Source organism: Homo sapiens, chromosome 13 (assembly GCF_000001405.40).
Source record: "Homo sapiens chromosome 13, GRCh38.p14 Primary Assembly".
In the NCBI taxonomy this organism is placed as follows: Eukaryota; Metazoa; Chordata; class Mammalia; order Primates; family Hominidae; genus Homo; species Homo sapiens.
This window is the reverse complement of record NC_000013.11, coordinates 36,604,585-36,616,643: the sequence shown is the minus strand read 5'-3', so window position 1 is coordinate 36,616,643 and position 12,059 is coordinate 36,604,585. Positions and strand designations below refer to the sequence as shown.

At 39.6% G+C, this 12,059-nt stretch overlaps 1 long non-coding RNA gene across 1 annotated transcript; it reads left to right on the top strand.

Moving 5' to 3' along the window:
- The first annotated feature begins 2,837 nt into the window (after positions 1 to 2,837).
- Positions 2,838 to 3,894, top strand: LOC124903155 (uncharacterized). The gene is made up of 2 exons (XR_007063756.1): positions 2,838 to 2,965; positions 3,101 to 3,894. It is a non-coding gene; the product is annotated as an uncharacterized LOC124903155 (long non-coding RNA).
- The last annotated feature ends 8,165 nt before the right edge of the window (positions 3,895 to 12,059 follow it).

The following is a 12,059-nucleotide window of genomic DNA, read 5'->3' as shown; positions in this document are numbered from 1 at the left end:
TCATTTTAACGGGTATTTCTCATTTTACGTTTTTTTGCTAACGACTTATAACTTGCTGTTTATTTTTTGTTTAATTTAGCCTATGAAAATGATGTTAGACATAAAGCAAATTAAAGTGGCTTTCTTATTCGAATTCAAAATGGGTCATAAAGCAGTGGAGACAACTCGCAACATAAATGACACATTTGGCCCAGGAATGAATGTACAGTGCAGGTGGTTCAAGATGTTTTGCAAAAGAGACAAGAGCCTTGAAGATGAGGAGCCCAGTGGCTGGCCATCAGAAGTTAACAACCAGTTGAGAGCAATTATCAAAGTTGATCCTCTTACAACTGCAAGATAAGTTGCCAAAGAACTCAACGTCGATCATTCTATGGTCCTTTGGCATTTGAAGCAAATTGGAAAGGTGAAAAAGCTTGATAAGTGGGTGCCTCATGAGCTGAGTGAAAATAAAAAACAATCGTTGCTTTGAAGTGTCATCCTCTTTTATTCTATGCAACAACAAACCATTTCTCTATTGCATTGTGACATGCCATGAAAAGTGGATTTTATATGACAGCCAGCAACGACCAGCTCATTGATTGGATTGAGAAGAAGCTCCAAAGCACTTCCCAAAGCCAAAATTGCACCAAAAAAAGGACATGCTCACTGTTTGGTGGTCTGCTGCAGGTCTGATCCACTACAGTTTTTTGAATCCCTATTAAACCATTACATCTGAGAAGTATGCTCAGCAAATTGATGAAATGCTCCAAAAACTGCATCGCTTGCAGCCAGCATTGATCAACAGAAGGGGCCCAATTCTTCTCCACAACAACTCCTGACCATGCTTTGCACAACCAATGCTTCAAAAGTTGAACAAATTGGGCTACGAAGTTTTGCCTCATCCATCATATTCACCTGACCTCTCACCAACCGACTACCACTTCTTCAAGCATCTCGACAACTTTTTGCAGGGAAAACACTTCCACAACCAGCAGAATGCAGAAAATGCTTTCCAAGAGTTCATCCAATCCCAAAGCAGGGATTTTTATGCTACAGGAATAAGCAAACTTATTTCTCTTTGGCAAAAAGTATTGATTGTAATGGTTCCTATTTTGATTAATAAAAATGGGTTTGAGCTTAGTTACAATGATTTAAAATTTACGGTCCGAAACTACGATAACGTTTGCACCAACCTAATACTATCGTTGTTGCCTTGGAGCCGCTGGTGAACTGTCTGACTCTCTCCAGCATCACATACAGAAGGCTTTAAATTCTTTAAAGTAGAAATTAAAGGCAAGTTTTCATAAAGTAGTAATTTTTAAAGATTGAGTCAAGAAAGACAGCTGGGTTCTGTTTTAAAATCTGATGTTAGTTGTATCCTAAGAATGAATACAATATATTTTGTATATTGCATAACAGTAACAATTATGATGTCACTTATTATTTGAATTTAAAAGAGGATGCTGAATGGAGCTTTTTTCTGTTTTCTTGGAAGTTTAGTTGAAGCCCTAAAGCAGAGAAAATAAGCAAAAGATGCCTCCACATACTAAAATGAAGTGCCTGACATGTCTAAGCTAGATCTACTGAAAGACATTAGATCCTGTCTGATATAATAGACATCAAAACTATCACTCACCTCCAGCCACCGTCAGCCTATATAAGAGAAGATGATCACCAAGGAAGGAAAGCTGTTGGCCTAGTGGGGCCAGCATGGCATTTCCTACCCTCCTAGACAAGTACTGGGGATCTGAGAGGCATGCTAACCACAATTGGGGTTGTCTCAAGGGGAGATATTTGGCATCTCACTTCCAGCTGCATGTTCACTGAGCTGCAGATACTCCAGGGCCCACCAGGTGCACTAAAGTGGAGGAGATGGAGCATGGCAAGAAGTTGGCATGGGTTTTCTGTAGACCAGGGTCCCTGTGAATATAAACACTGATGCCTGATTTCTGTCTGGAATATTGTGAAGATAGGTAGACAGCTGAAGAAGCCCCTTAACCCACTGATGGAAGGCAGAGAGAGAGCTAGGGCTTCCTCATTTGCTGTGGAAAGACGCATGAGGTCCTCAAGGATGGAGAGAAATAGCAGTTGCAGATGGTCACCAGAGAGAGAGGCCTCTACGAGTCTGCTGAAGAGTTCATTGTCTATGTCAGGGAATGAGAATATCCTGAAGGTGTGCAGTGAGGATGGGGGAGGGCTCCACAGAACGCTAAATGATGCCTTGACAAAACCAGCACATGTAGGCCTGCCAGAAGGGAGACCAGAACAGCCCATCAGCACTAGCAGGGATAGCACCAGTCACACTGGGCTTTTTCCTGCCTTCCTCTAATCTCTCTCCCTTCCCCTAATTCTGAAGCTCCAGAAAGTTCAGTGGAGAAAGGTCAAAGTCCTTACATCAATCCTTCCCTACTGTAGGGTTCTGAGCCAACTGTGAGTTGGTGGAGAGCGGAAGGATAGAGGGAGAAGCTATGAACTGGCTGTGAAGTTCAAGTTTTGATACTAGATAGAATCAGACCTTTTAATACCCCCAAGTCAGTTAGGCACTAACTAAAACTGTTTTCAAAAATAGCTGGAAGTGATAGGAAAACTATGAGCTCTAACTTAAGCTGTCATCAGGGAGTGGGGAAAGGAAATCCAAGACTGCAAAAGTGAAAGTGGTTTTTGGTTTTACACCATTGATTAAACTCATTTTAAAAACAAGCAACTGTTATTTTAAAATAGAATATTCTATAGAAAAAGCCTTATTGACAGAACAGGCCATTGAAATCTTTTTCTTGTCCTTCGCAGACATGCAGGCCCAGGGAAGGATAAATGGAAGCATTTATGCTTTCTGAACTTAGAGCCTGCATGTATCTCTTCTGCAAGACAAGCTTTGCAAATCCCACTTGAGAGCAATGTGGTATAAGTTGTTGGTTTGTGAAGACAGGTTTTAGACAAAGAACCATGGTATTTTCTGGAAGATATGTAATGTTTTGAAGAGGATGAGGTAAGGACCTAGCACTTATTAATCATTTATTATTTTGCCTATATACCTGACAACCCGGCAGTGTGATAGATGTCTTATCTCATTTAATCTTTCCTACAATAATATGAGGTAATTATTCATATACCTATTTTGCAGATGAGGAAGTTGGGCCTCAGGAATATTATCGAATTTTCCCAAACTCATCTGGTTAATAAATGTATTTGATTCAAAAGCCATTCTGTTTCTACCACGTTGAATTACCAAAACTTGCAGAAGAGAATATAATCCTCATCATGTTTAATTTCGAAAGAGACGGACTGGTAACAGATAGTTTACAGCCGTAGCAGGATTTCTTGTGTTTGTTGTTAAGAAACTTGATAAGAAAGATGGCTGCTCCCTAAAGGAAAGAAAAGGAACAATTCAAAGCAATATGAACTTCAGGTAAGGTTGAGGCAGTGCCGAGCAGTGTCTGGAAAGAGAATTCTCTAGACTAGATTAAACAGAGTTGAATCCAATGAAGTGGGAACATGGAAGGCCGCAGAAAAGCTGACATAAAGCAGAGCAAAGGAACAGTAAAGACACTGGGAGCAGAGGTTGTGTTCAAATGGGCACAGTCGGGGATGAGTACCTCTAAGGAGCATCAGTGGCCCCACACCAATGAGGCCCGGCTCTCCTTCCCAAGTTGACCTAGGGGTGTTTGGTGAACATCAGGGAAGAATGTTTTGGGAAGCTCTCAGACAGGCTTCTCGGAGTCCGGTCAAGCTTTCAAGGCTGTTGCCATTCCCAAATGGATCTTTTGTGAAACTCACCCAAATCAGAAAGGTCACCTGAGGTCACATTATAGAGAGCTGGAAGAAGGACATTTTTCCAAATAAAATTTAAAAAGTGTTTATTTTTAAACTGTCCCTGTTCACTTGGACAAGTATCTCCAAATAAACCAATGGGCTTTGTTTGGGTGTGCTTTTATTAGTGCCAAAGGATACTCCCCTCTACAACTGCATATAAACAAACATCCTACCGTACTCTCATTCCCATTCCTGGAGAATTAAAAATTTTGCGCTCAGTTAAAAATCCCTATGTAAGCATCCTAAGGGGATAGGTTTGGGGCGGGGAAGTGGTCTAAGCCCAGTCTTAGAAACTCTCTAAAAGAGATGGCCCACCTGCTTCCCTTTGTCTGTGTCTCCTTTAACAATCTGCCCTTTCCAACACCTCTGACCTAGAGAAGCTCACCACGAAACACAGTCCTTGTTTTTCTCTCTGTCCCGCATTGAGTTGCATCGGGGAGGGGTAAAGCAGACACATTATCATGCAAGACCAGCAGAGTTGTGGCATTTGAAAAGGGTCAAGTCTCCTTGTTCCACTTTGTCAGTCTTGGCCACTTTTCTCTCTTTGCTCTGAACCAAACTGTGACCACTGAAAGAGAACACATGTTGTCATGGAAAGAGCATGGGCTTGAAGTTATAGACCAGGGTTCCAATCCGGCTTTGTATAATCTTAGGCAAGTTACAGAATCTGTTTCCTTGTCTGTAAAATGCAGAATCCCTGCATTACTGGTTAGCATTTGAGCTGTTTTAATGATTAGATAATGTCTGCAGAGCACTCAGTAATAATCCTGGGATGTGATTAGACAATAAATACTCTTTTCCTTCCTTCAACATCTTACCTCAGTGTTTGCAGAGCTGCCTGCTGCTCTTTAAAACTGCAGTTTGGGCACCCTGAAAATGAGTAGGAGCCAAGAGCACCAGTATGCCCAGATTTCAGAGCACGCTCATTCATTCTGCCAGGTTCCTTCACACTTTCCAGGTCTGTGTCCTGAATTTCTCCTGGCTGAATTAACTGAAATGGCCACAGGAGGTATGTTCTTTTGCAAGTGCTACTGACACCTGTTTTCATTCTTCTTGACATCAGAGCAAATCTGCATTTCTGATGATGTTGCTGGTGACAGGCTGCCACAGAGCAGGCTCTGATTTGGGAGCATCTTGACAGAATCCCTTTGAGAAATTCCTTGAGTGGAAATGAACTGCTTGCACCATGAATGAGTTTGTAAGAATTCCTTCCAAGCCTCAGGCTCCATCACTAAAGATGGACAAAATGTGGGTGGCACCTCCAGCGCTACCCATCTTCATATCTTCAAACGGCATTTGATGCTACCATATCTTCAAAAGGCATTTGCACTCTGTAACAAACATTTTGTATGGGATTTTGTTTTGTTAGCATGATGGTGAGGATGATGTAATATGATATAAACAAAAATAAAGCATTGATATTATTTTGAAATACTAATTCATGTATTTTTTATTCCTTTTATTTTATTGCTTTGAAACATTAAAACTAGATAGTGAGGCTGAGATTCCTTGTTTTACAAGAACAGAAAAATATCTGCTATGAACTGAGAAATAAAAATAAAATCCTAAGCCCTTCAACCAACTGAATAGACCTCCTCTAGGCCAACAGGACCCCAGAGTAACCATGAAAAAAACTGAGTTCTCGGCCGTGGCAGGATAGGAGGTTAGACACACTTCATTATATACCTGTCCTTGCTAACCACCATTAGATTCCTTCCCTAAGGGCTAAACATAAGCCATCTTTTTCAAAAGACCCCACCACTGACATCAACAACTGCTTAATGCTATCCCTCCTTTTTGCCTGATAAGGGACAATCAATCACAGAAATCTGATAAGAGAGTTCCAGTCCATGGAGAATGAACAGTAAGGGTTTGTGTGTTCTCTGCTTTACCCTTTGATGTCATGTGCCAAAACCTCTACCCTGTGATCATGCTAAAACTGCCATTTTTTGTACATGGGGCCCATGTATGAAGCTCATTTGCACATGTGCACGTTTCTTCTCTCATAAATATTTGAGGAGTTTTTAAATAGCTTATTGAATACTTATATTCAGCCACCTCACTCAACTTAAATTCCCATTCCATTTGCCCCTCCCTTGAAGTGTCTGTTTTCAGCTTCTGACCAGAGGCTACACTTTTCAGCCTGTCAGAATGGCCACTCTGCAGGCTGCTTTATGAGAAATAAAGCACTCTTTCAAAATTTATGAACTTTATCATTCTTCAGTTGACAGAATAAAGGGTTAAATTTTTGGCTTTGAGTTCCAAATAAGGTGCATGAAATTCAAAAGCAAATCAGTAAATTTAAAAGCCTAAGTCTTTTGATTGATAAGAGTTGTACTTCAGTTTTTTTTCAAAGAGAAAAGGCTGGAGAATTACATTTTCCACCACAATCCTTGAGAGCACAGAGCTGGCATCCTTTCCCTGAAGGTCATGCACAGGCTGAGAAGAGGGAGAACCAGCACCCAACCCTTGGTGAAAGAATATACCATAAATCACACCTGCTAGAGTCATGGGTAGCAGTGACAGCAGGGCACAAAATGACCCTGAAAGCAGAGGAAGTGTGAAGGCTAGAAGATACTCTGGCATCACTTGTTCATCTACTCAGCAAATATTTATATGGCAATTAACTGCGTGTCAAAACTGTTCTTGGGATACCACAGGGACTATGGATTCTAGCCCTTGGGAGCCTTTGGAGATAAAATGAATTCAGCAATGGCATCACAAAGATAGATTTTTGTCATACCTAAGTTTGTGGACTGATGTGATTGGACATTTAAAGCCGTGGCAAACTGATTTGCAATTTTGAAAGCTGTTGTTAATCTTTCTGGGCAAGTTTTTACAAACAAAACCTGCCCAGAATTCTATAGACAAGAAAAAAAAGCTAAGATAAGGTACTCTCATGCAGGGGTCCCCCAGCTGTGGATCTGCACCAGCAGTGGCAGTATGGCTGTCACCTGGGAGCTTGTTAGAAGTGCCAGTTCTTAGCCCCTCCTCAGTCCTAGTGAATCAGAAACTCTGGGGGAAAGGCCCAACGGTCTGTTAATATGACCTCCAAATGATCCTGTGCATGCTAAGGTTTGAGAACTGCTGCTGTGATAGATAGGGATTACTAACACAATAAATTAATTTAAATTTATCCAATAAGCATTTATTCTACCTGAGTCATGGGTTGGCACTGAGGATGTGAAGGCAAACAAGATGAGTTCCCAGCACTCAGGTGGGTACTCACAGACAGGAATATATATAATTACAGTATCATGCAACCAGTGACATGAGGCATGTTCAGGTATGGTGCAAGCCCAGAGGAGCCAGCTCTTGCCCACACACCTCCTTGCGGTGGAGGGAAGAGAAGGCTGAAAAAGTGAAGGCTGCCCTTCTTGGGATTCTAGGGTGGCAGGGACTGAGAAGAAGTTTCCTCTACCAAGGCCAGAGTTGCCCCTGATTGCAGAGCAAGGTTCCACACCAAGCTGTCTTCAGAAACACAGAGAGAGCTTAGAAACATAAGCTGCTGGTTCCAGAGACTATTTCACTGGATACATGTAAATACACACACGTACATACATACACACGCGTACATACATACACACACATATACACACATACATATGTGTGTGTATATATATGTGTGTATATATATACACACATATATACATAATATATATTCAATTTATTTATATATATAAATACATATTTTATATATATATATATATATATATATATATATATATATATATATATATATTTAACAGGCTCCCCAAGTGATTCTTAGGCACACAAAAGTTTGTTCTAAGAGATGAAGAATGAATCAGCCTATGAACTCTCCTCTCATTTTTTATTAGTATTGTTCATTGAATTATGAGGGAATAGAGGAAATATTTCGCTCTAATTATCCAGTCTCCTATGAGGCACACCTAGGTGGGTTACTTGTCTGAGAGCAATCTCTCATGGCATAGGAACCTTACCTTGTATTGTAGCTCAACTACTATGCTAATTATTGTAGCACTTATTTAGCAAACATTTATTAAATACTGATAGTTCACAATTGCCCACCTTCGCTTGCTTTAACCAATGGGAGTAACCAGACATGACCTTTGCTGTGACTGAACAGAAGCTTTAAATGCCATTGTATTGTATGGTATGGCTGACACTGTTCCCTAGTACCATATCTTAGATAGTGGCTTCCCCTTTGACCTAGATTCCAGAATGAGAAGACACATGGAGCCGAGTCTAACAGAGTCCAGCTGAACTGCAGACCGCATGTAATGTGACCAAGAAATAAATATTGATTGTTGTAAGCTACTGAGATTTGGAGCTTGTTTACCTTGCAGCATAGTCTAGGGAAAGCTGACTATAACACCTACTCTGCGTCTGGCATTATACTGCAGGGACAAAGATGAGTAACACTGTCTCCTTCCTCAGAACACTTGCTGTTCTTGAAGGGGATGAATCAATATCTATCTTATCCTATTCCATAATTCTACTCTATTCATGCATTCCTTAGATTGTCCCAGAAAGCACTTATTCTGGCTTTAATACATAGAATGTAAGTAATAAAACACAGTAAGGTACATCAGAAGCAGATGAGAAGGGAAAGAGAAAAACAGAGGTCAAGGAATACGACTTAGGAAAAATGCATAATATATGCTTGTGGGTAGACTCAAATTTGATTGTAATCATGTAGAAGTCAGTTCATAAAAGAGACCTGATTAGTTTCACAATTCACAGTGCCCATAATATTAAAAGCAAAGGAATTGCTCCAGAGATGCATGGCTATGCCTGATCATCATAATATATAAATTACTCTGAGAACGTATGGGATTTAAACTGTTAAAATTTGCTTTTGGGGTTGTAATTTAAGATTTTCTTTTCCAAAATACTATATGTATAGCCTCAGCTTAATTCTGTTTTAATGTCAAAGAGAGAAGGAAAGAGATAAAAGTTATGTTTTGTTTTGCCTTAGCTAGGAGAGGGAGAAGGTACAGTGTGATAAATCCATAAAGCACTCTTTGTAAGTATAGTCTTTCATTAACCTATCACACTTAATTATAACTATTTGCTTACCTGCTTTTTCCCCCTGGGAGTTATTCTAGGAGAAGGTTGGCTTTAATTTATTTTTACTTCTAGCTTAGTGTTTAGAATAAAGGAGTTCAATAAAGTTTGAATAGAATGAGTGACTGAACATTGAGTTTATTAATTTTCATTGTTGTGTAGTATTCCACTGTGTATACTATTATATATCTATTATATGTCTGTTCTTGACATTTAAGTTGTTTCCAGTTTGGGGCAACTAAAAGCTGTACAACCATAGACATACTTAGACATGTACTCGCTTACACATAAAAGCACATAATCTCTAGGAAATCTAATGTGGAATAACTAGGTGATATGGTGTATATAGCTTCCAATTTACTAAATAACACTATTCTGTTTTTCAAAGAGGTAGTTTCTATTTTCCTTCCCACCAGCAGTGTCAGAGTATAAGAGTGTCTGATGTTTCACATTCACACAAACACAAACATCAAGTATTTTCATATTTTTTATATATACCAATTTTAATGAGTATATTGTTGTATCTCCTTGTCGTTTTAATTTGCATTTCCCATATTACTAATGAGGTTGAGTTTACTCCCACATAAATAATGGCTATTGGATTTCCTTCCATGTGAAGAACCAGTTCAAGAATTTTGCATACTTAAAAATTTGTGTTGTGGTCAGTCGCGATGGCTGGTGCTTGTAATCCCAGCACTTTGGGAGGCGGAGGCAGGCAGATCATTTGAGGTCAGGAGTTCAAGACCAGCCTGGCCAACATGGCGAAATCCTGTCTCTACTAAAAATACAAAAATCAGCCAGGCACAGTGGCATGCGCCTGTAGTCCAGCTACTTTGGATCCTGGAGAATCACCTGAACCCAGGAGATGGAGGTTGCAGTGAGCTGGGATCATGCCACTGCATTCCAGCCTGGGTGGCAGAGCAAGACGCAGTCTCAAAAAAAAAAAAAATTGTGTTGTCTGTTTTTTTTCTTATTACAGGAGCTCTTTATATATTCTGGATACAAATCCCTTGTCTATCGTGTGTGCTACAAATATTTTCTACTCTGGTTTACTTTTTCACTCCTTTTATAATATTTCCATGAAGAAATGTTGTATTGTGAAAGTTAGTAGCCTTTTCCTTTATGATGAGTTATTTTTATATCTTATATAAGAAATTCCCCCTTTCTTCCTTCAAAGTCATGAAGGCATTTCTTATAGTCCCTTCTAAAAAGCTTTGTAATTTTGTTTTTCACATATAGATCTTTAATCCATCATAAATTGTTATAATTAGTATTTAGGAGAGGAGGTCTGGTAGGTTTCAAAACAGCCTACTTCGGTGAATCAGCCCAGGGTTGCCCCAATATTGCTGCATCAGAGCTATACACATAGTTCATGGCAGTAGTGAGAGCGGAGGTTGGTGACTGAGCTATTATCTTCAGAGTGACTAAGAGAGGAAAAGATACGTACCCCACCCCCATTGCCTTCAGATGCTGTAGACCAGAGGCAGTGCCACCATGGGAACACAGGCAGGCAAGGGAGGACCCCCCCCATCCCATCCCCCAGCCCAAGCCCAAGCCCAGGGGTGAGCAGTGGAGTGTAGGTAGTTCAGAGCTATAGAAGGCTAAATAGTGATTTCCTGAAGAAGTCCACATCCTAATCCCCAGAGTCTGTGACTATGTGATTTTATAAGGAAGAGAGACTTTGTGGATATGATTACATTAAAGATGTTCAGATGGAAGGATTATCTTAGTATATCCCAGTGGGCCCAATGTAATCACAAAGCTAAAAATCCAGGCAGTATTTACTAACAGCCTGATGACTTTAGAAGCACAAACCCAAGTACTGAGCTTTCAGATGCAAAAGTGATTTCTGGATGTTTGATTGCAGGAGGATTTACAAGGGAGCAAGCTGAAGTCCAGCCCTGAAATGGATAGGGCATTTGTTGTCTCAGAGAGCCCCACGTGAATTGAAGTGTCAGGGTGAATCTGGTTACTTTTATTCATGGTAATTAAAAAATCTATTTGGAATATTCTTGATTTGCTATAAACAGAGTTTTTCAGGAATGGTATCTTTCTTTCATAGATGCAAAACAAATGCACACGAGACCAAGACGCGTATGGAATAATGTAGAATTAATTTGCAGCCAACCCACTATGGCCACTTTCATCACCTGCCTGACCAAAGGGACCAAGTCAGAACCCCAAGGGACCATGGTGGCCAAGAACCCTTTTTCCAGGGCCTTCTACCTTTTTTTCCAATCTGTATCTTCCCTCAGTAATTTTAAAGGAATCTAAGCCACTGTAATCCCCAGCCTCTTAAGAGAATTTATAGAGGCAACTAAAACCTAATCCATTTTGGCATAAAGCTAGAATTGCTTTGGTGTTGAAATATGCGCAGACATGAAGAGCTTCCTTAAGATCAACAGAGCTCTTCTCTTTCTTCCTGTAGAATACCCTGCAATGCCCAGAAATTTTTATAAGGGTTTCATACACCTGCACATCATGGTATTAGAGGAGGTAAATGATGGAAAGACTTCACAGAGCATCTGGTCCCTGTATTTGCCAAAAGAATATGGTTTCTTACAATATACTCTCTGGAGATCTATTCTAGCTACAAGCTTCTAACCATCCACCTAAATGACTCTATAATAATCTAAAGAGACATTTTCCTTGACATTGAGTATGTACTTTCTCCTCCAAATTTTAACCTCATCTTCCAGAAGGATTCTTTTTTATAGACTTAATTAACTAATTTTCTTTCTTGATTTCGGGACCCCTTAAGGACTGAATGCAAATAACGAGAGATTTTTTTAAGAATAAGGAGCTTAAATAATGTATTTTTGAATCATAACAGATTTTTTTCTGGGTTTGAGTCTACATTCTGTGCTAGTATCTTTGTTTATTACTGTCTAGCTCTTACCAGTTTTTGTCTCCAATAAATCCCAGAACTATCTCGTATTTTGAGTATGAGAACAGAAATGTTAATATGAGTGTTTTAAACTTAGAAATTTTAAAATAGTTTTAGAGTTAAAATAAGACAAATAACTATGCCAATTTAGAAAATTCAAAGAATAAATGAGATGATTGACTAAAAAGAATTGAGCAGTGTAATCTCTGAGATTATATCCTGCAAAAGATATTTCTTGGATGTGTTCAACCACAGTCAGTTCTTTCATTATATTGCCTGGTCAGAATTAAATCCTCAAAAATTGTGGGGAAAAAGGGAAAATGTACAAAATATT